This window comes from Homo sapiens, chromosome 2 (genome assembly GCF_000001405.40).
Source record: "Homo sapiens chromosome 2, GRCh38.p14 Primary Assembly".
In the NCBI taxonomy this organism is placed as follows: domain Eukaryota; kingdom Metazoa; phylum Chordata; class Mammalia; order Primates; family Hominidae; genus Homo; species Homo sapiens.
Window position 1 is genome coordinate 165,274,299 of NC_000002.12, and position 24,835 is coordinate 165,299,133.

Sequence of the window (24,835 nt, forward strand, 5' to 3'; positions counted from 1 at the left end):
ATAGTATATTTATGGATTTAACCAGGAGAGGGATTATCCTTATTCTAAGTAGGGGAGAAAAAATTAAAAAAAAAAAAAAAGAAAGGAAGGAAAAACTCCAGTGGTCAAGAGATTGAGTGAACCGAGGAACAGAGTGGTTATTTGTTCTCTGTAATGTATTAGGAATGACTGGAAGTAATGGAATATGCTAGTGAATATAGCTACCCCTATATTGAATAGAAAAATACATTACCAAAACACTTTTCACACACGAAAACAAAAGAACATTTTGTACAAATACCTGATGTGTAGCTATATCATTTAGTTGCTACTATTGCCTAGTTTAAAAATTGTACCCTGGTTAAAAACAGAATCCCTTTTCTAATCTTTTAAGATTTCAACAAATATTTCCAGGCATTAAGGACAGGCAGTATTTTGCCTTGTCCACTTCTCTGACGTCTAGCTGTTTCTAGTTGCTAAATTTGGCTGCTGTACTTTTCATATCCGTAAAGCTGTTCTTGGGTCCACCCTGCAGGCAGCCATCCAGGTTTGGATTTTTCCGGGCAGCCCGGGCTTGGCTATCCTGCTTTCATCATCCTCCTTCTGTTCTCAAGCCAAGGACATAGAATGGCAGAGAGCTCCCCTTTATTTCTGGTATGATTGTTGCTTCTCCGGGTCTGGCTTGGGCTCTGATCTTGACATTTATGTCACAGGTGTCACTGGTGAAACTGCTGTGAAACCAGATGGCAGGCCTAACTGAGGTTGGCAGCAACTGCTGTTGTCCCCAGTGTCACTGCTACCTGCTCTACTTTCTTATTCCTGTTGATGTTCTACTGCCTTGTTTTATTGCATTCGTTCAATGTTACCTTCCAACAGGCCTTTTCAAATGTGAACACCATTCCATAACTCTTCTGATGCATTAATTCCCCATGGAACCCATTCATCTAGGGAGGCTCATGACTTGGCTAGATTCTCCACTTTCCTTCAGGGCTTTTGTTAAACCTCATTTCTTCAGCAAGCCTCTCCATGACCACCCTATCTAAAATTGCAATACATCCTTCTCCTCCCCAACCCTGATTATTTTTTCTCTCTTTTTCATAAATTTTCTTTCCCTGGAGCAATTTGTACCACATGTCAGAATCTATATTTGCCTTACTTGGGCATTATCTGTATCCCTCCACTGGGTTACCTAGAATATAAGCTCCACAAGGGCAAGGTTTTGTCTGTTTGGTTCATTACTGTATCCCAAGCATCTGGAAGAAGACTGGCCCTTAGTAGACATTTCAAAATTTTTGTTAAATGATTAGCTGGATTGTAAATACTGAAAGATTAGGTTTATTGTTTTTGATTTGGTTTCATTCATTGTGCTTAGTACAGTGCTATATGTAAGAGCTTGAAAGACAGAGAAAAGAGCATTAGTAGTATCTGTTATGTATACTGGATGTTTTACTTGAGTTATACCCTTTTTTTTTTCCAAGACAGAGTCTTGCTCTGTTGCCCAGGCTGGAGTGCAGTGGTGTGATCTCGGCTCACTGCAACCTCCGCCTCCTGGGTTGAAGCAATTCTCCTGCGTCAGCCTCCCAAGTAGCTGGGATTACAGGCACCCGCCACCACGCCTGGCTAATTTTTATATTTTTAGTAGAGACAGGTTTTCACCATGTTGGCCAGGCTGGTCTTGAACTCCTAACCTCATAATCTGCCCTCCTCGGCCTCCCAAAGTGCTGGGATGGCAGGCATGAGCCACTGCACTCAGCCAAGTTATACTCTTTAATCCTCACAATAATCTAGGTATTTTGACCAAAGAACCACAGCTAGAAAGTAGGAGAGTAAGATGTAAACCAGTTTTGTCTGGCTCTAAAATTACTGCCTTTTTTTGTTTGTTTGTTTTGCTCAGAAGAATTGGTCATGCCAAATAGTAATAAGAGTTCTTCAAAATGAATGATATTTCATAATAAGGTGTAGCTAGAAACAGTTTGCCAAAAATACTTAGGAAAAAAAAAAGATTTGTGAATTAGCTCCCTAAAAATACAAACGCAACAATTCCAAAAGAAGGAATTCCAAAGTTATTGGGCCATAGTACTTTTGTGTTAAGTGCCTGGCCCTCCAAGGTAACTAATTTTAATTTAAAAAAAATGTCTGGACACATATTTTGACATGTTTTGCTGAAAATATATTTATAATATGAGCCCAACAAAGACAAATAGATTCATTCTTGGTGCTAAAAAATGACAAGAAAACTTCTACGCCATTGCTCTCGAATGCTTTCTTCATTGTAGTCCAAGAAAATTTGATTAGTTGTATTTTAAAAGTAAGCCAGATTTCACTGGTAAGGTCTTTCCTTACTTCATCTTCTCCCTTGACACCTTTTGATTTGGTTGTACAAATGCAGGTTAGGCCCCATTATTAATTCAGTACCACATATTTATGAAGACCCCACATGATGCAATCAGCACTAGAGACTGGAAGTTTTTCATCAAGCCCAGTAAGCCCACAGTAAAAAGGAATCAGTCTCAATCACTCATCAGGAAGCTAACATGTTCTGTGACCACCTTCTGGATGTTGAGTTATCTCTAATCCAGAGTTTATGTCAATGATCTTAAAAATTAGTTCAATTCTGGATGGGCGCGGTGGCTCATGCCTATAATCCCAGTACTTTGGAAGGCTGAGGTGGGCGGATCACGAGGTCAGGAGATGGAGACCATCCTGGCTAACATGGTGAAACCCCATCTCTACTAAAAATACAAAAAATTAGACAGGTGTCGACAGAGCAAGACTCCGTCTCAAAAAAAAAATTAGTTTAATTTTGTCTTCATTTTTTCTTACTTAGTAAAAGATAATGTAATGCCTGGTGTTTTTTTAAGGCAATCATAGAATCTGGAGGTTGAAAATATTTGGGGAATTATACATTCTAATTATTCAGACAGGCATCCTTACTGCAGTATCTGCTAGTAATTGAGGATTATTTCATATTTAAAAATACTCATATTTTTATGCAAATCTCAGAATTTGAACATTGTTACTTATAATTGTTAAAAAGTAAATTGAGAAACAATAAAATGTTAAAGAGCTTATTTGAGCAAATGGTAATTCTTGAATCAGCTCCAAACCAAAAGTGGTTCTGAGGCCACTTGAGAGAACTCAAAGAGAAAGCTTTTATAGGGAGAATGTAGAAATAAAGCAAAGGAAATATTTAATTGGTTGCAATTATATAGTTGCCTTATTTGGTCTATCTTGCTGAAAAGTTCCTACTTGTATTACTACATGAGTTGGCAGCTTCTGATTGGTTAGCCTTAAGTTTCATTTCTCTTTAGGCATTTATAAGAAATAGTTCAAGTTGAGTTTTGCATATGTTTGCAAATCAAGCAAAGTTTAGGTTACTTCTGAGGGCCACTTGGATTTGTCTGCTCAGAACTTCTTCAAGCCTGGTCTGTTTTAATTTACTTCAACATATTTTATCAACATTTTGCTTTCTATAACATTCATAGTAACCTTAGATCTGCCCTCTAGAATCGACAGAGGCTATTTCACCCCCAGCCTCTTTTCAACATGAGAGTTTGCTCAATGCTGCTTCTATTTGAAATCTTCTGTTATTCAGCTCTTTTAATGAATATCTACTTTCTGCAAGGCATTGCTTTATGTACTGCAAGAGTTACAAAGAGGAGTACATCATAATCTTACTTGAAGGCAATTACTTAAATAGAAAAAATGGTGTGTGAAAAACAAATGTTCTTAAGCTTGAAAAAGTGAAAGTGTGTACCCAGCTGGAAGGATGTGAAAGTGTGCATGGAAAATGTATTTGAGATTTAAACTGCTGTTGTCTTCTGGGTTGAATTGGTGTCATGAACTTCAGGTAGTGAAAATAGCTTAAACAATACCCCTGAAGTGGAAACACAGAGATTAGTGTGAAAATTTAGAAGACCGTGAGCACATTATATTTTGTGTGTACCATAAGACACTGGTAGAGTATATTAGTCCATTTTCTTGCTGCCATAAAGAACTGCCTGAGACTGGAAAATTTACAAAGGAAAGAGGTTTAATTGATTCTAAGTTTGGCATGACTGGGGAGGCGTCAGGAAACTTACTATCATGGCAAAAGGCAAAGAGGAGGCAAGGCACCTTTTTCTCCAGGCGGCAGGAAGAAGTGCTGAGCAAAGAGGGGAGAGCCCCTTATAAAATCATCAGATTTTGTAAGAACTCACTCATTATCACAAGAACAGCACTGGGGAAACCACCCCCATGGTTCAATTACCTCCACCTAGTCTCTCCCTTGACACTCGGGGATTATGGAGATTACCATTTAAGATGAGATTTGGGTGGGGACACAAAGCCTAATCCTATCGTGGGGGTTGGTAAGAGGGAAGACTAGAAAGGAAAGCTGGACTAGGCAAAGTGGCTCATGGCCATAATCCCAGCAGTTTGTGAGGCCAAGGCAGGGGGATTACTTGAGCCAGGAGACCAGCGCTGGCAACATAGTAAAACCCCATCTCTACAAAATGTTAGAAAATTAGACAAGTATGGTGGTGTGCACTATAGTCCCAGCTACTTAGGAGGCTGAGATGGGAGGATCTCTTGGGCCTGGGAGGTCAAGGTTGCAGTGAGTCTTTATCACAACACTGCACTCCAGCATAGGCAACAGAGCAGAACCTTGTGAAAAAGAGAGAACGAGAAAAGAAAAAGAAAGAAGTCAAGAAAGAAAGGCAGGCAGGCAGGAAGGAAGGAAGGAATGAAGGAAGGAAGCAGGGAAGGAAGCATTCTTTACATGCCAGGAAGAGGAATCTTAGTGATGAGAAAACTGAGTCTCTGAGAGTTTGAGCCTCACTCAAGGTCACTGAGTTGCTAAATGGCAGAACTGGATTTCAATCCCAATAATTTGATTCAAAACCCATACTCTTTCCCATATACCACATTATCTAGGAGGTGTCCCAAGAGTTCTGAAGGGGGAGTTAGCTTCCATCTCAGGAGACGAAGAGAGTCTTCTTAGACCAAATGGTATTTGAGATAATTTTGATAAGTTTATGTTGAATTCATTGGTTGAGATAGGGAAGACAATTCATTTCAAATGGAAGAAACTGAGCAAAGGTACAAAGGGGAGGAAGTGGAGAGATTGGGAACAGAAAATAATTAATCTTTGGTTGAACATCATCAAAAAGGTATAAAGGATGGAAATGAAAGCTAAGATCAGAGCACAAAAGGATAACATATTTGAACTTTTACTTGGACTTAAATGATAAAGTTTTTAGACAGATTATTATTATAACTACAGCCAAGTTTTTAAAAATATTATATTAGTAATTATATATAAAATAGATGGATGGGAAACAAACGGAAGAATGGAGATTATCTGTTTAGAGTAACCCAGTTAATTATAATAAAATATTGAATCTGCATGTTGGCAATGGAATGAGAAGGGAAGAGATAGATATGTAATTTCAGAAGCACAATTCACAGAACTTGATAGAGATTAGTGGAAGGAGGAGGGAGATAGATGACATTAATTCTGTGATATGGTTTGCCTGTGTCCCACCCAAATCTCATTTTGAATTCCCACGTGTTGTGAGAGGGACCCAGTGGGAGGTAACTGAATCATGTGGGCAGGTGTCTCCCGTGCTGTTCTTGTGATAGTGAATAAGTCTCATAAGATCCGATGGTTGTATAAGGGGGAGTTTCCGTGCACGAGCCCTTTTTCTTTGCCTGCCACCATTCACGAAATATGTGACTTGCTCCTTCTTGCCTTCTGCCATGATTGTGAGGCCTCCCCAACCAACAGGTGGAACTGTAAGTCCACTAAACCTCTTTCTTTTTTAAATTGCCCAGTCTCAGGTATGTCTTTATCAGCAGCGTGAAAACAGACTAATACATTCTGTAAATTTGAATGCAGGAGATAGAACCTTTAAAAGCAATGGTAATTTGTCTTGCAAGGCCTATGTTTATCTCTACTATGTACTCAGACTATTGTACAGCCTGGACCATAGAAGGTATGCAATACGATTATTTATCTATGTACTCAATCCCTACTCTGTGCCAGGGATTGTCCTAAGCACTAGCGATAGAGTAAAAAGAAAAGAAAAAACTCTTGTTCTCATTAGTAAAATAAACATCACGTTGCTTCACCCAAACTAGATCACCTTAGTCCCTTTTATTGTTATCTCTGTGTCACTCTCCTGGCAGGTGAGTGTTTCTGCTTTTAAGAATCTGTACCTGTGTCTTGCTTTAGATAACTGTCTTCAGATTATCTGAGTCATTTTTTCCACTTCAGCACCAAGTCTGAAGTGCCGGTGAGTTTACGTGCCCCCACCCATATCCTTAGCGAAGACTGACTATTGCAGTCTTGTGAAAGTACAGATCCCTTGCTTCATATAGGGACAAACTCAAATACATAATTTGTACTCCAAAGTTGTCCTGTGGGATCATAATAAAGCCACTTCTGTAGGGCTTTGTTTGGAATTACACCTTAGCTTGGCTCCTTCCCCATCCAGACCTGCAGCTTTACCCACTCCTTTCCTGATTGATCCTAGGAGTACCTCCTTAACTAATCACTTTCCCATTAAGCCACATCTCAGTGTCTGTCTCTGGGGAACCTGACCTAAGACATGTAGTTTACATTGCAATGTACAGAGACAAATAATAAACAATATAAATAATTATTAATAAGTTTCATACTAGGCCGGGCATGTTGGCTCATGCCTTTAATCCCAGCCAGTTGGGAGGCCAAGGCAGGAGAATTGCTTAAAGCCAGGAGTTCAAGACCAGCCTGGCCAACATAGCAAGACCCTCATCTCTACAAATAAAATAAATTAGCCAGGCAAGGTGGCATGTGCCTCTAGTTCTGGCTACTTGGAATGCTGAGGTGGGAGGATCACTGGAGCCCAGGAGGTCGAGGCTGCAGTGAGCTTTGCCACTACACACTAGTCTGGGCAACAGAGCAAGACCCTATCTCTAAAAAAATAGATATTTTATTAGGGGAAGTTGAAGTTATAGAGGGAAATAAGGAAGGAGATGTGGTTAGAGTGTGTGAAAGTGTGTGTGTGTGTTTTCAGTTGTAGGGGATGGTGTTCAATTTTATATAGCATGGTTGGGGAAGGCATCACTGGGAAGGTCCTATTTGAGCAAAGACTAGTAGGTGCTAAGGGAATGAGCCATGCAAATTTCTGGGAGGAAAGCATTTCAAGCAGAGATGAAAGCAAGTGCAAAGCCATGAGCTGGGAGTGTCTGGAGTGCTTGGTGAGAAGTAGCCATGTGAGAAAGTACAGGGCAGGAGACGACATGAGAGAAGGAAGTGAGGGGGGTGGGCAGACCTTGCAGGCCAACACAAGCCATGGCTCATACTTTGACTTTTCCTCTGAGTAAATAGAGAGTCACTGTAGAGTTCTGAGCAGAATAGTGACTCGACTGTTTTTGCGTTTCAAAGGAATCTGGCTACCACATTGAGAATAAACTGAAGGAGGCCAAAAATTAAGCATGGAGACCAATTTAGACATTATTACCAGGGCTGGCTTCGTGGGCAGCCACACAAGGCTCCATGCTAAGAAGGGCCCCACACATGGAGCCTAATGCTCTGCAGTCACCATCTTGATAATTTTAATAATTTGTGTTTGAATTTAGGTTTTGTAAGTGAAAGTCATGGGACTGTGGAGCATGTTCTGGGTGCTCAGTGTCTGGTACTTCCTGCTGTGGATAGGTTCAACACTACCTGCACCCCTGCTCCCTGCCCAGGCCACTCAGTGCCCCCTTTTTCACCTTTTTCCAGCAACTATTGCCACCCTCCAACAGGGAGAATGCTGGGCTGCTGGTGGGAAGATGTCTGTGTTCTGCTGCCCTTAAGCCTGTCGGGGATTTGATCACAAGCTCAGGTCAAGTTGCAGTTAGGAATGCACCTCAGGCTGGAAGTGCCAAGGCAGGTGAGAGACTCAGTGGGAGAGAGCTTCTCACCCACCTCTAATCCAGGCATGTCAGGTGCAGAGTTCCAATGCTTTGGGGGGTTGACCTTCCACCAGTTTGGGTGGCAGGCTCATGGGAAGGGTAGATTGACTTCTCTGACCCCAATTGAGGGCAGGTTGCTTCAGTCCAGCAACTGGTGGGAAGGGGAATTTGGCAGTGGGGGATGGGGGCAGACATTATCTTCTGCTCTGAATCAGGGACACTCATATGGCTCTGTGTTTGCCCTGCAAGTGTTTCCCTGCTCCAATGAGTACAACATTAAATAGCAAATAAAAGCCATCAGATCAGTAGACAGTTTGCATAAATAAGAAAAAAGCTATGTTGCATAATCTTTTAATGGCCCCTTTTTCCTGCTACTTAAACAAGTGTCTTCCTCTTTTTTTTAGAGACAGGTCTTGCTATGTTGCTCAGGCCAGTCTCCAACTCCTAGCCTCAAGGAATCTTCCAGTTTGAGCCTCTGGAGTAGCTAGGATTATAGGTGCAAGGCACTACTCGCAGCTGGGGCCTCAACATTATCAGTTTTGCACTGTACTTCATAAATTACTGGCCCTAGCAATTGCAGTAATCTAAGTGAATGATGGTGGCAACTTGAACCAGTGTGCTAATGGTAGAGGAGGTGAGAAATGATTGGATCCAAGATATATTTTGAATATAGAACAAAAAGGTCACTAGAGGTTATGACATAGTGTATGAGAGAGAGAGGAAGGAATCAAGGATGGCTGTAAGGTTTTTCACCTGAGGAACTTGACATTATTTGTTGAATACATAAATGATGTGTCCTGTTATGTATCTGTTCATGAAACACATTGATGGTAATGAAGATGCAGTGGCAGAAGCAAATCATAGAAGTATTTCCTAGCGGTAGAAATATTAAGACTTGGTGACAAAGATCATAAATTAAAGGAAAGGGAGTGAAACAACTAAGTCAGGAAAAATACTTCTAACTTAGGAAAAAAGAAGAAAAAGGAAGGAAATGGAAATATTTAACAAATGGTATAAATTTCTAAGGAAGATAAGTTCAATTTTGGAAATGTTCACCTGAGGCTCCAAGAACCTACAGCCCAGGAGACCTTAGCTATAGGTTGTTGGGAATATGTGATAGGATCCTGAATGAGCACTCAGGACTAGGGATCTATGTTGAGGGCATCATATAAGTGTAAGCTGGAGTCACAAGAATGGTTAACTCATCAATAAATGAATATGAGGAGAGATGTATACAGTATTGCAGAAGAGAGTTCCTTGTAAATGTGTAAGCTCATCCTCCATGCCTGGGATAAGAGTACATTCATTATGGTGCATGTGAAGGTATTGAGAAAACAACTTCCGCTTTCTGGCAGAGGTTAAGCTAGTCCCATAATAGCAATAGCAAGATTATAAGGGGAAACTATGTTATTTGTACTGGGTCACAAATTTGTCTAATAGCAGTGGACCTGTGGGATTCTATAAACATCTTAGGTATAGAAAGGGATCCAGTGACTTTTAGAAAATCAGACTTATATCATATTTCCCTTCTTAACTTGTAGCTCAGTGGTGCATTTCTTACCCTGGGGGAGAAATGGAACATGGACTATATTTAGTATTTGAAATCAGACACATGTGAATTTAAACTCTGGCTCAGAGTGGCAATGGCAAATTATTCAACATCCATACACCCTGATCACTCCCACATTTGAAAAGTGACAACAATACTACTTCCTTCACAAATAATGCAAGGATCAATGAGATAACAAATCAAGAAGCCAGTAGTGTGCCACAATTTAGGTAGTGTTGACATTACATGAAGAAATGAACCCATGGTCTCCTATGCTCTCCTTCACTCCTCTCTAGTTCTCTCTCTCTCTCTTTCTCTCTCTCTCTCTGTCTGTTTTTCTCTCTCTCTCATACACACAGGCATGCATACATACACTTTGGAATGTAGCTATTTTTTGAGCATTGTTTTATTATTATTTAATTTATTTATTTATTTATTTTTTGAGACAGAGTCTGGCTCTGTCGCCCAGGTTGGAGTGCAGTGGCGCGATCTCGGCTCACTGCAAGCTCCGCCTCCTGGGTTCATGCCATTCTCCTGCCTCAGCCTCCCTAGTAGCTGGGACTACAGGTGCCCGCCACCACACCTGGCTAATTGTTTGTATTTTTAGTAGGGATGGGGTTTCACCATGTTAGCAGGATGGTCTCAATCTCCTGACCTCGTGATCTGCCCACCTCGGCCTCCCAAAGTGCTGGGTTTACAGGCGTGAGCCACTGCGCCCAGCCTGTTATTATTATTATTTCAAAGACCTTCTGATCCTGGCTCTACCTGCTCATTCATGGGGAAGATGCCCAGACATTCAGATCTACTGTTCCACTGAGGAGTTTAGAGGCTGCTTTTTCTCCCCCATAAAAGAGAATGGGGACTGATGGAAAAATTTTAGGTAGAAGTCTTTGATGAAAAGAAGAAATGAGGAAAACTGAGCTGGAAATATTCAGGTATATCAAACAAGTGGAAATACCTCACCCTCATAAAGAGAACCATATCCTGGGAAATTTTCTTTCTTACCTGATTATTAAAATCCAGAATTGGAATTCTGTGATTCCAGTATAATCCATCCATCAAAACCAAACTACTATGTAATCAGATTAGAGGTGGCCTTCCTGCTGATGAGCCATTTAGAGACGGTTGAATGAGTTCTTGGAAGTCTGCTAACATGCACTTAATACATCTGAAGATTTTAAAACGTTGCAGCAATGTATTGCCAGTCTACCTACAGTAAAATAAAAATGCTTCCATTAAAATACAGGTATATTTCTTTTATATAGTTAACTTATTTTTCCTAGGAAAGTTAGATGTAAAGTGATTATCTATACACTGAATCATATTTCCCAGAGATCATCATAGTAAGATTGGTATGCATTTCTGTTAAAGAAAAGCAAAATGTGTCTTAGGACATAACAATCATTTAATGGAATATCTAAAGAATGTTGGTCAAGCATTTTGAACAAGATGAAGATGGAACCAGGGCTGGGTGTGGGCAGTAGACTGTTCCACCAGGAGCCAAAGATGACAGTGAATATACACTTGACATCAGTCACCAATGACAACCTAATTCTACGTGGCATACTGGCCTGGATCAATGAGTCTCCTGAAGTTGAATTTGACAAAGATGGAACAATTGTGCTCAGGGGCTGCTTATTGTTGCTTTATGGTCATCCTCTTCCCTGGCTCCATTGCCTTGAAGAAGGTGAAATTCCATGAATACATTCATAACTTCAAAATACTACAAGCAGTATTTTTAAGAGGGTGGGTGATGACAAAGTAATTTCTGTGGACAATTAGGAAAAGGAAACTTTCAGGACAATTTTGAATTCATTCAGTACTTTAAGAAGTTTTTTGATGCAAACTGCAATGAAAAAGACTATAACCCTGTGGCTGCCGGACAAGGTCAAGAAACTGAAGTGGCTCCCTCTATTGTTGCTCCAGTTCTGAATAAACCGAAGTAACCTCTCAGCTCTAGCAATCCAGCTCCACATAGGACCATTTCCACAAATAACTGCAGCTTCTAAGGCTGCAGCTTCTAAGGCCCCAGGGTGGTATTAAAAAATCCTGGTGTGGGCAGTAGGAGTGCTGCAGGGTCAAATTGATGCTAGCAGGTCAGTGTATTGAAACTTGGCATTGAAGCCTTGGAGAAAGAGATTTCTACTTCAGAAAGCTAAGGAACAATGAATTGATTTGCCAGCAGAACGAGGGGCAAAATGACCCTGTATTGCAGAGGACTGTAGACATGCTCTGTGCCACAGATGAAGACTTCGTGATATCCGATGAAAGGGGCCCACAGGAGGAACAAGAAGAGTTTTAACAACCCGAACCAGGAGAGCCTTATCCGAATTCTGCACTCCAAATCTTGTGCTTAACTGTTAAATACTCCCTTTTATTATTCTTAGAAGACTCACTGGTTTCTTTTTATGAGCATGAAGTACCTCTTTTTAAAGTGCATTTTGCAGAGTTTCACTCCTTTTTTGGTGAGTTTGAGTTGGGAGTTTTACTGTGCAGCAGAGCAACATTAACATCTGGTTAGTTCACCTGGGAAACAAAGAGGCTGAACATGGGGCTCACCATGTGCATGTAGGTAACATTGATTGCTGGAGAAGGTGTTTGGTAATATGCCGAAGTGGAGACCTTGGTACAGAAATGTGAAGACTGAATTGAATTTTAACCTAATGTGAAATCTTGGTAGAGAATTTTGTAATAAGTTAATGCCTAAAGAATATTTAAAATATGCTTCCATATTCAAAATATCAAATGTAACACATCAGAACATCTTATGTGTTTGACATTGTATGTTGGAAGGAAGGGCCAGACATCAGAACCTTTGGAACCTGGTGTCATCACAGGCCTTACAGGGCTGCTTGCAACCTCACAGGCCTAGACTTTGGCCCCAAAGGAAAGTTCTAAATGTTGCTCTGTAAATCCATTTGGTGTCATTGACCAACTGCATCCAGGCTAAAAAGCAAGAGGTATTGTTGCCTGGATGAACACAGGGTGTGTTTCAGCCCTGAGATTTTTGGGTTGAAGAGCTCTATTTTCATTGAGGATTTCTCTGGAAATTTTTCCAATTATCTCTGAAATTTCTATGTATTACGCTTTTTTGGGAAATGAGGTGTGTCCAATTCTTTCATCTAACAACGCTTTTGGGGATTTGCTCACATCTCTGAGATTTGAATGGAGGTTGTTTCCCATTTTACCATCCTTTAGTTTTACATTTAACATGTCACCAGTGGTGAATCCATAGAGGTCTGCAGCAAACTTGATCCTTGCCTCGTTGGAGGAAAGAATTTGGCTGAGGGGAAGAAGTAGGTTTAAGGTAGAGGGAGAGACCGAGGCAAGTTTTAGAGTAGGAGTAAGAGTTTATTAAAAAGTTTTAGAGCAGGAACAAAAGGAAGTAAAGTATACTTGGGAAAAGGCCAAGCAGGCAACTTGAGAGGTCCAAGTGCCCTGTTTGGCCCTTGACTTGAAGTTTTATACATTGGCCTAGTTATGGCCTGGTTACGGCGTTTGCATCTCTCTTCCCTTTATTTTCTTTTGGAGCAGGCTGTACACATGTGCAGTGATCTGCCAGCACTTGGGAGGGGCAATATGTGCAGTGTGTTTACTGAAGTTGTGTGCATGCTCACTTGAGGCAATTTTCCTTTACCAGTAGAGTGTTCCTGAGAAGGTCATATGCCAGTTAAACTCTGCCATTTTGCCTCTTAATGTGCATGCTTGAGCTCACTCACCCAATTCCTGAGAACTTATCAGGAAGCCTCTGATCACCAGGTTCAGGTGTTTTTTTTTTTTAAGCCATTAGGGGACTGTCTTTACCTGGTGCTGGCTAAGACCAATTATTATTTTAGACAGTTTAGTAACCACCTGACCGTCATCTGATGGTTGCCTGACATTCCTGAGGGAGGGGCTCTCTACTGCCTTGCTCATGTCTGCCTAACTACCTACTCTAACATTGCTTCTCTTCTCTGCTCCCCTTGCCCACTGGGGACACCTCTTTGGGTTCTTAAAGTTTGCAGCTTGGAGTTGGAAGTGCAGCAGGCAGGTGGGCACACTGCAAATTCTTTGTGGACCTCTGGCAAAGGGAATAATCAGGGAAGGCTCTGGTTACCTCTGCAAAGCTGGGATGTTTTTGGTATCTGCTGTCCACAGCTCTCCAGTTCTCTGAATACTTTATCAGTACACTAATCTCTTAAGAGATAAAATTTATTAGTGTGTTGCTAAATGTTCATTTTCTTTTACAGAAAATACAGTACCATGTCTGAATTATTCATATTTAAAATTTGTTATTCCTTAACTCTCCCTCATTTGATTTGTGCACAACCTATTCCATCCTTTTGTTTGGCAGAAGTTTGCAAAATATGTGTCACTCACTGAGATTGTTCAGCCCCTGATGCATTTGTATTGATTTGTGTCTGGTGATAGCTTGTCCTAAAATGTGTGTAAAAAGTAAACATTTTATAACAAAATTGTTGTTTAATGGATGCTTTGTGTGGAATTCAGAGAAAAATCCAGATTCAGTGATTAACAATGCCAAAAAATGCAAGTAAATAGCCATTGTTCAAATGACAGTGGTGCTGTTTCTCTTTTGTGGTTTTTTAGACTTTTGTTACCTAAAATTCTGCTTTATTAGCAACTCATTTTTCACCTGATGTTTCTTGACAGGCTTTTTTTTTCTATTTTAAGTAGTTTCTAAATAATTTTTTTTTATTTCAAGAAAGAGAAAAAAGAATATTGCTCAATGCACCTAATATAAAAATAAACTATAAAAAATAAGTTAGTTTCATATTGGAACTAAACCTAGCATTAAAAAAAAAAAACAGCTTTTCTCACCAGTAAACACTGAACGTGAGTTCTTCATATTCTACTATTCTCTGTTTCTACTCTACAGCAGAAAAACACGTAAGTCTGGTTGTTCAGAACTGTCTCCCCATTATGGAAATTGTTAGTTACAGAAATGGGCTAGTGGATTCAGGTTAAAAAGAGAAGGATACATATACATGTGTGTGTGTGTGTGTGTGTGTACATATGTGTGTGTATATGCATATATACAAATATATATCACAGCAAGTAACAATCAAAAAGTTGATAAGAAAATAGACTTGAACCTATGGAATAAGAAAGCTAGAATATCTGAAAAATAAGTATTCAAATAATATTTAGCAAATCTTTTATTGGTTTATGTTTACATTACTGTAATGTACCAAAGAACCCAAAAAACTACAATTGTAGAACAGAACTTAAAAGGCCACTTCCAGAAAAAAAGACTTTCCTTAGTGTTTTCAGCTTTCTTAATTCTTGGGCACAAAATTTTCTAAGTCTTTGCGCACTTATCCACAACCACTAATTACAATATAAACTAATATAAAATTATGTCCTCATCTATGAAATTTAATATGCCATTTTCTTAGTATAAATTTATTTCTAGAGCATGTATTATTAATGTGGATCTTTGTAGAAAAAAATTGTGGTACAATGTTTATTACTACATACCCTTATTTTTTTAAATTGTCTTATCTTTCATATAACTTTTTGCTGATGTCATCATGTGTAATAACATGATTTTTTAAAATTTTAATTTAGAAAAAATATATTCCTCTTGTATAAATGAGAAAACTAAAGGAAAAGAGTATCGAAAGGAAAACATTATAGAAATATCAGAATTTAGAATCCCAATTCTTAAGATTTTTTATTTTCTGACTACTTCAAATAATATCGTTTGCCTTTCTCATTATTCATGGGTCTTCCAAATATAGTGTCTGGCCTTAAAAGTTGTAACACAAAATCTTCTGTCTGAAATGTAGTACAACTGAATGAAATTTAAAACCTTCACGTAATATATGTCATATAGAACTCTCATAAAATATCAGTATGATGTGATAACAAAGGTCAGAACAAATGGAAGAAAAACCAATGTATGATTTCTGAAAACCTTATCCTGGGAAATGAGAAACAGACTATAATTCTTTACTTACATCTACATTATGCAAAAGTATCTTTGATGTGAAAAAATACTCAGTGTTGTTCATTCGATGTTTTATATGTTTTGGTAAAACATTTTGTGTTCACCCTTTTAAATATTCCAAGACACACTCACTGGCTAGAATCAATGGGAGAGAAAGAGGTGACTCTATAACTAATATAATGTTAAGGAAACTGCACATATCTTGGTATGTTTCTGATAGTGCATAATTCCAGAAAATGTCTTAAGCATTGCATAATTGTTAGAAACATGAAATCTGCAGCCAGCAAGCATGAGTTCCACATCTGACCCTACTCTTTCCAGTTGTGAGAACTTATTTGTATTTTAAACTACTGAATTTCAGGATGCCTCTGTTTATTCCTGTTTCTTTATTTTTTAAGTTGACAGTATTTGTACATATTCATGGGGTACATAGTGATATTTCAATACATATAACATATACTGATCAGATCAGGGTTATTAGCACACCCATCATCTCAAACATTTAGCATTTCTTTGTATTGGGAACATTCAATATCCTCCTCCTACCTATTTGAAGTTCTATAATATTGTTAAGTATAGTCATCCTACAGTGCTATAGAAGCTATAACTTATTTCTCCTGTCTAGCTGTAATTTTGTATCCTTTAACAAATCTCTCCCTATCTTCCCCAGCCTCTAGTATCCTTTGTTCCATTTTTTACTTCTTCCTCATGTTTTAAAGGGAAATGATTACAGTATCTATTTCATTAGGTTGCTATAAGGAATAAATGGTTTCATAGCTCTTAAAATAGTGCTTGACAAAAGTAGGTACTATGTGTAGATTTTTATTAAAAAAAGTAGATACTATGTGTTATTATTATGACTAATCTTCTCCCAAAAATATGTTTGGTAAATCATTTCATAAATTTGTTTATTCTTAATTTATTTTGAATTAGAATCATTTGTATAACAAGTTGGTATATTGCTGAGCACATCTGTAAAGTAAGACCTGAATATGGATTTGATAATTGAAGTTGACACTCATCATAGAGATTTATGAAATATTGTGCGCTTGATTGCAGTAGGACAACTTACTATGGGGAAGGAATCTTGTAAGTATCTTGCCTGGCCAGTATACATGGAAGTTGGTACACATGGAAGATATACCATATGTATATATCCCGATATTGATAATGTTACTTTCCAAAAGTGGAGGCACTGCAAATATGATGAGAATGTGACTAGAGCACGCACTTGTTTGTTCTTTCTGTCCAGCATTAATTTCCCCCTTATTCCAGTAATAGTAACTCAACAACTCTGCTCTTTGTCATTTCCTGGTGTTTTTTTCTTTTCTTTTCTTTCTTTTTTTTTTTTTTTTTTTTTTTTGAGACTGAGTTTCACTCTGTTGCCCAGGCTGGAGTGCAGTGGCATGATCTTGGCTTACTGCAAACTCCGTCTCCTGGGTTCAAGCGATTCTCCTGCCTCAGCCTCCCCAGTAGCTGGGATTGCAGGTGCCCATCACCATGCCCGGCTAATTTTTTCTATTTTTTAGTAGAGATGGGGTTTCATCATGTTGGCCAGGCTGGTCTTGATCTCCTGGCCTCAAGCAATCTGCCTGCTTCGGCCTCCCAGAGTGCTGGGATTACAGGCATGAGCCACCGGGACTTGTCTGTCGTTCGTTCCTTCCTTCCTTCCTTCCTTCCTTCCTTCCTTCCTTCCTTCCTTCCTTCCTTCCTTCCTTCCTCCCTGTCTGTCTTTCTTTCTCTTTCTTTCTTTCTTTCTTTCTTTCTTTCTTTCTTTCTTTCTTTCTTTCTTTCTTTTCTTTCTTTCTTTCTTTCTTCCTCTCCTTTCTTTCCTTCCTTCCTTCCTTCCTTCCTTCCTTCCTTCCTTCCTTCCTTCCTTTCTCTCTCTCTCTCTCTCTCTCTCTTTCTTTCTTTGTCTTGCTCTATCTCCCAGGCTGGAGTGCAGTGGTGTGATCATAGCTCACTGCAGCCTCAAATGCCTGGTCTCAAGGGATCCTCCTGCCCTGATCTCCCAAAATGCTGGGATTACAAGCAAAAGCAACCTTCCCAGCTCCAACTCCACTTTTCAGAAATGCTTCTGTACCACAATGATAACCCTGACTACTCATAGGTTTCAAATGAGGACTCTTCCGTGTTTCAAGGCTACAGCATGTGGCTTAGGAGAGGCCAATCAAAGACGGCATTACCCTGGACAGAGTAATTACTTCAGGATGGGCATGTGACCCACCAGGTGTCAGTGAGATGCAATGAGTTTTTCGGAGTCTTTCTTCCCACTGAATTGAGGTCTGGAAGGTTGGGAGGCTAGAGCTGCTACAGCATCTAGCTGTAGGGAAGCTACGGCTAAGAGAAGAATCTTTAGGAAACTTATCACTATGAAAGTCAGAACAAAAGGATACAGCATAACTATGAGCTGGTAACATCAGCTGAGCTCTTGAATCATCATATGCCTAAGACTAGCCCTGGACAAACCATGAACCAATAAACTCCTGTCTTTATTTATTTTTTACTTCAATTAGTTTGAGACATCTTTTTCTCTTACAATCAAAAGTTATCTGCTAAAGTGACTAAAATATTATTTTGGGCTACATCTTCCCCTTGCTCATTTCCAACAAACACATTTTCTTCTTTTCTCCAAATCCTTTATTTTAGATTCAGTGGGTACCTGTGCAGGTTTGTTATGATGGTATATTGCATGATGCCAAAGTTTGAGGGCACGATTGAACCCACCACCCAGGTAGCAAGCATAGTACCCAATAGGTAGTTTTTCAACACTTGCTTCCCCCACCCTATACCCACTTATAGTCCACGGTGTCTCTTGTTCCCATGTTTATGTCCATGTGTACCCAATGTTTAGCTCCCACTTATAAGTGAGAAGATGTGGTATTTTGTTTTCTGTTTTTGCCCAACAAATACATTTTCCAATGAAAATGATGAAGCCAGAAAGTATGAAATACATTGATTTAACAATTAGAACTGTTCTAATTATAATTGATACCGGTGCCTGTTTTCTTTTTATGATTGAGTAATGATCACAGATTTTTGCTATCAGATTTTGAGTTTGAATCCTGCCTGTATGATCTTAGGAGACTTTTCCTAATCTCAGTGTATGTCCTTACTTCAGTTTGCAAATAAGGATAATGAAAGCACTTATCCAATAGGGTTGTGTGGAGGATGAAATAATACAGGGCAAATGTCTTAGCCAAGTGACTGGCACTTAGTAAGTCCTCAAATCTTCACTATGATATTAATTGAAAGCCTAGCATTCACAATCTCACTGGTTTATCAGTTCTTTTTTCTGGTTGCTTTTTAGTGACTTAAATCAGAGATAAATAAGATTGGTGTCTCACTGGGTTAATATTTTTTCTGGAGAGAGTTAACTTGTGTGGCACAGGCCATCTCTTTATTGAATTAGCAAAGAACTACATTGGATTTAAGATTATCTGGGGCTGAGGCTAATATCAAATCCTACTCTATGTTTGTAGTTCCTTGGCTACAAGCCTACATACGGTAATTGCTGTTTAATATGAATTTTTATTTTTAACCCTTACATATAGTAAGGGTTAATTGCTATTTAATATGAGTTTTTATTTTTAACCCTTCCCTATTTACGTCATGCTTTGCTTAAGGACCAAGATATATTCTGAGAAATGTGTCATTAGGTGATTTTTGTCATTGTGTGTACCTCATAGAGTGTACGTAAAACCTAGATGGTAGAGCCTATTACACAACTAGGTTACATGGTATAGCCTATTGTTCCTAGGCTACAAACCTATACTGGATGTTACTGTACTGAATACTACAGGCAATTGTAATGCAATGGTATTTGTGTATCTAAACACGTCTAAACATAGACAAGGTACAGTAAAAAATATGGTATTATAATCTTATGCGACCACTGTCATATATGTGATCTGTCATTGACCAAAAATGCCATTAAGCAGTGCACTACTGTACTTTCTCTTTACTTTAAATTTGAATTCTTTATATGGGTTGAATGACTTTCTGACATAGCAAATAAAAAGCATGAGGAGAAGCATTATCTGTTAACAAAATTAACACTTAAAATCAACAAAGTTTTAATGTTTCGTTCCAAGAAAAGCCTGTGGAAGATCAGTTCCACAACTGAGAGCTTTGGGCTGCTTCAGACATATGTCTGTGTGTACGCTGTGAAGGTGTTTCTCTTCACAGTTCCCCGCCCTCTAGTGGTAGTTACAATAATGCCATTTTGTAGTCCCTGTACAGGAAATGCCTCTTCTTACTTCAGTTACCAGAATCCTTTTACAGGAAGTTAGGTGTGGTCTTTGAAGGAGAATTAAAAAAAAAAAAAAAAAAAAAAAAAAAAGATTTTTTTTTTTTTAAAGCATGATGGAATTTTAGCTGCAGTCTTCTTGGTGCCAGCTTATCAATCCCAAACTCTGGGTGTAAAAGATTCTACAGGGGTAATGTTTTATTATTCTTATTATGCTTATTCTCTGTGATGCTTCTCTACCTTTACAGTAGTAGAATCCTTGGGGAAATCTGCAGAGGGACCACTTTCATTTTGAAGCTGCTGGCTGCATGTTTTAGCATGTCTCTTCTATTAGAGAATCCAGGCATGGCAGTTTCCTCCCCCAGTGTGCAAGGACCATCTTCATGCCTATGTCTGTCGCTAGGCATGAGGGTCTCTAGGAATGGGTGAAAAAAATGAGGGATGTTTTGGAGGCACTATAATACTGGGGAGGGCAGTCTGCTAGCTGGTAGCTGAAAGGTCCTGGTTTACTTCAACATTTTTTTTAAATAAAACTGTGCAGTAGTTTTTGTTATTTTAGGTTTCCCTCTGTTTTATCTGGTGTATGCTGCAGAAGTGAACTGCATAACACATTTCACTCTTAGAAAATGCATTTCATATATTTAAATGACAACTCTGACTCCTATAGTATGGGGGTGAAATAGATTGATTTTTTGAAAAGATGGAAAAAATAGATTAAGTGTCATTTAGGAGTCAAGATGTTGATTGTATTGTTTCAAATAGCATAGAAACTCCTGCCACTGGTTCAGAGGTAACATTTGGAATGACTGATGTGCTCTTTTGAGTTATCTACTTTAGTCTGGTGAAATATGATTTGAATACCAGTAAAAATCTATTTAGGTTATTGCAAAGACTCATATAATAAGAGTTTGCTTGAAAAGATAAACTATCGTAAACTTATTATTTTTTCTCAAGTCCAAATTCTGATATGGACACTAAGACTGTGATGCTACGTTTTTATGAAATGGGCATAATTTGAGGAAATTGGCTATCTCTACAGTATTTCCTAAGGTACTGCAAATGTGTTAATTTAAGAAGCAATTACACTAGCTAGCAGCAGGTTGCTAAGCCAGGGGGTCCGAGCTACAGACCTCTGATGTGGATGACTTCCTGCCCGGTTTGGCAGGAGCTGGGTCCCTTCCTGTGCAGCTTCCGAGCAGTTCCAAACACAACCAGGCATCTTCTGCTCCTTCCCACTCCCTTTCTTTCAAGCAGGATCTACCTATGTTTCCATAGCCTGGCATTTTAGGATTTCCAGAGATTTTTACCCAGTGAATTGACTTGGAATAAACTCTTAAATGTGATAAAGTGAGCCAAAGGGCACGTGCAAAGACTTGGAGAGATATGTGCAAGATCCTCAGCTCAGGTTCTACAATTTAATATGATGTTTCATCTCTTGTTTTGGATCTCTGCTATTTTTTCAGAAAGAATGCTGAAAAAGATGGCTGCCAAAATATTCACACAAGTGAAACAGCAGGCACAAACCAGTATCCTCCATTTCTGAGCTCTGAATTGCATATTTTCCCACAAGTAGCACAATCACTTAAAACATTTTGGGAGTGGGAGATTAGATTACCTCATAGACACCTACTGAATGTGAGAGATAGATCTCCATGTGAGCAAATGGATGCACATATGAGATTCCCTGAATACCAAATACAGCTTTCTTTGAAAATATTATAGCTATCTGAGTTTCTATGCTGTATCTCAGTGCTCAGTGTCATGTAACTGACACAATCACCTTTTATTCTAATGGTCATTGCTTTTTTTCCCTCCCTGTTTCTGTAGCACTTTCTTATGCAAGGAGCTAAACAGTGATTAAAGGAGCAGGATGAAAAGATGGCACAGTCAGTGCTGGTACCGCCAGGACCTGACAGCTTCCGCTTCTTTACCAGGGAATCCCTTGCTGCTATTGAACAACGCATTGCAGAAGAGAAAGCTAAGAGACCCAAACAGGAACGCAAGGATGAGGATGATGAAAATGGCCCAAAGCCAAACAGTGACTTGGAAGCAGGAAAATCTCTTCCATTTATTTATGGAGACATTCCTCCAGAGATGGTGTCAGTGCCCCTGGAGGATCTGGACCCCTACTATATCAATAAGAAAGTGAGTTCTTAGTCAAGTTGCCTTCACTGCCTATTTACTAATTGGTTCTGGGCTAGTCCCAGGGATGATGGTGAAGAAGGCTGGCCTCCTTCCCTCTGTCTAAAGTATCACTAAGATGCTGGATGGGCCTGACCGTGTAATGGACCAATGATCCTAGAAGTCTTTTGGAAGCACTCATTTGAACCTGCATTTGTGAGACAGGCAGAGAACTGGTGAGGCATCCTCCAGCGCGGGAATTAAGGAAGGACAAAAGCCTATTCACCTTCTTGAATACAAATTATATGCTTAAACCAGTGTAAATTGACCCTGATTCCCTAATAATGTTGAGAAGCAAAAACTGTAAACTAGGAGTCTATTTAAATTTTATTTTTTATATTTGCAGGAGTAGTATCTAAATTCCTCTTTATAGTCTCTAGCTCTCCATAAGTCACTTTGATCTTCAGTGGGTTTAATTATTCCTTTATACCATACTTTCTCCTTTCTATTGCTCTCCACAGAAGGAATAATAGCAGGTGACTTGTAGGTGCCAAATAAGATTCTGAGCAAAGAACACACCTGGAAAACCTTGAAGTTCTCATGAGAAAATTTTCTAACCAAAAAAAAAAATCAAAGCCTCAATTTTGTGCTTTATGTGAATTATAAATGCGGTTTTAAAATACTTACATTAAAACTTGATAAAGTTGCTAAGAATTCCTATGGCATTGATCACAAATTTTCTTAATAATCCTCATGTCATTTATCAAATTTAGGAAAGTTTATAGTGCTCAGAAAAAAAAAGCATCTATCTTCATGTCATATGATGGTAATTATTATGTTATACACTATTTTACAGGGCAATATTTATAAATAATGGTTTTACTTTTCTCTTAAAATATTCTTAATATATATTCTAAGTTTTATTTTATGTGTTGTGTTTTCTTTTTCAGACGTTTATAGTATTGAATAAAGGGAAAGCAATCTCTCGATTCAGTGCCACCCCTGCCCTTTACATTTTAACTCCCTTCAACCCTATTAGAAAATTAGCTATTAAGATTTTGGTACATTCATATCCTTTTTCAAATCGTCACTTAATATGATTTTCTTCTTTGACCAAGTTATTGAGCTACACATTTTCCAAAATATCTGTGGTTGGCAATGTTATGTGTTCTTTCTTTTTCTTTCCTTTTACTCAATCGTTAGCATGTTGCAAAATGAGATCACAGGTAAGTGAATTACTTTCCCCCGTCTTCTAAGTGTTTCTTCTCTACCCAACTCACTATTACTTCTTTCTTCTCTTTTCTTCTCCCTTACGAATTGCTTGCCACATCCCAAGCCTTTCTCATTAATTTTGACCATGTTACCAGGCTTTCCTCCTGTAAGTCTTCAATTTACAATGTTAGGTAAGGGAGTAAACTCCATGAGCTAATTTTCTTTACTGCTTTTACATTTGGAAAATAAATATACATAATCTGAATTACAATTTTGTATGTTTTTGGTCTGAATTTTATGACTTTCTTCTATTTTAGCATTTAAAAGCTTTGAGTTAGTAAGCGTTTACAATTGTGTCTGTAGGTATAACACCCTTTCAAATACTTTTCCAAATTTGTTTCGCAACAGCCTTCTTATTGATCTTTTGCTTTCTATTCTTTTCCTTTCTTTTTCTTTTTATCACTTGTTCCTATGTTTTATTGAAGTCACAAGTCTTGCTACAATTATCCCTCTCCAAAGGATTAATGTCTATCTATCCATATACATTCTCATTTTATTTTTTATACTCCTTATTGAAGCACCTGCTTTCCAAAAATGAGATTGATGACATCTTGGTGGGAGATGGCAATTTGATTGATTCCTTGAAATTAAATAGAGTAGTTGGAAATGAGAGATTTTATTCTAGGCCAGAAACAAGTCTTGTTGACAGCCAGTCTTGGGAATGCCAATGAAGCAAAGGCTTGGAAGACTGAAGCTGTGTGGGGCAGGGGCATTTACACGAAGAACACAGAAGTCATGGGAGGAGGAGTGATATGCTTCAGGAATCAGAGGTAAGGCAGGGGAACTGAAATTAAGCAAATCCTCAGATTAGGACAGCATGTTATTTCTTCTTCAGAAAGAATCGTTGCTTGGAATTCCATGATGTGGTTAGCCCAGGGCCTGGTATTAAGGCTTTCAGTATAAATATTCTCCACCTTTAGCAGGCCTAGAAAATATTTGAATTAGATAAGGTATGGAACTAAATTAAGTAGGGAATTCAGGAAATGGGATAAGCCTGGTACAGGGTACTTATGTCATTTCTGGGTGGAGGGGATGTAAAGCATGTCCCTAGACTTGCCTCCCAGTATGGCAAATGTTGTCTTTAGAAGTGTAACATTCTGTAAAGTCTCCTTTTAACCTCTAGGTTGTTCCTCTTCCCCAGTTTAGGTGGATATCAACATCTTTTATTTGATGTTTATGTTTCATGTTTTAAGATTTCCTAGTTTCTTGGCATTACCTTAAGCAATAATGTTTTCTTACCTCTCTCTGTTTTCCAAATAAGAGAACCCAGTAGCATGTGGGGAAAAAGATGTCTTTGAGTTAGCATTAGAAATAAATAATAAAGTTGGAATTTATATTTGGGTCTCATGATTATAAATTATGATCTATTATTATGTTTCAAGCATTTGTAATCTGTGCAGTGAATAAATCTCTGCATAAACTATTCATTATATTTTAAAATAATTGTATGTTCCTTATGCAAACGTAATTTATATATAAAATTACGTGGAAAATTCTAGCCTAGAACTAGACTTCTGTTCCTAGTAGACATTGGGAAAATATTCATTAAATAAATAAGTGACTAGTAAGTCAGAGATTAGAGAATCAGATACAAAAAAAGTGAAAAAATAAGTTTGAATGGATCAGAAAAAATCTTTCTTGTCGTGCATCTGAATGATGAGATGGAGTTAAGAAAACCCAATATATTTGTTTTTTACAAAAGCAGATTTTTGTTTTAAAACTTTTGTAATAGACCATGGAAAATCTCATGAAAACTATTGTCCCCACTTGAAAAAAAAAATCCTAGGAGATTATG

General features: G+C 38.5%; 1 protein-coding gene and 1 pseudogene across 5 annotated transcripts in view, besides 1 other annotated feature; both read left to right on the plus strand.

The window, feature by feature from the left end:
* The window catches only part of SCN2A (sodium voltage-gated channel alpha subunit 2), a 152,891-nt gene that overhangs the window by 34,885 nt on the left and 93,171 nt on the right, over positions 1 to 24,835 (plus strand). For 4 of the 5 annotated variants that reach the window (NM_001040143.2, NM_001371246.1, NM_001040142.2 and 1 more), the window contains 2 exons: positions 21,475 to 21,792; positions 22,719 to 22,837. In NM_001040143.2, coding sequence (NP_001035233.1) covers positions 21,526 to 21,792; positions 22,719 to 22,837 — 386 coding nt within the window. In that variant the 5' untranslated portion in view covers positions 21,475 to 21,525. Of the gene's footprint in view, positions 1 to 19,756; positions 19,838 to 21,474; positions 21,793 to 22,718; positions 22,838 to 24,835 lie in introns of those variants that run through there. The other variant, NM_021007.3, reaches the window with a different exon arrangement.
* Positions 10,955 to 11,747, plus strand: MAPRE1P3 (MAPRE1 pseudogene 3; annotated as a pseudogene).
* Positions 19,441 to 19,735: an enhancer, noted in NCBI's record as "tiled region #13511; K562 Activating DNase matched - State 13:Ctcf". NCBI's record gives its function as "activates a minimal TATA promoter and a strong SV40 promoter by Sharpr-MPRA in K562 cells {active_cell/tissue: K562}" and the evidence as "EXISTENCE:reporter gene assay evidence [ECO:0000049][PMID:27701403]".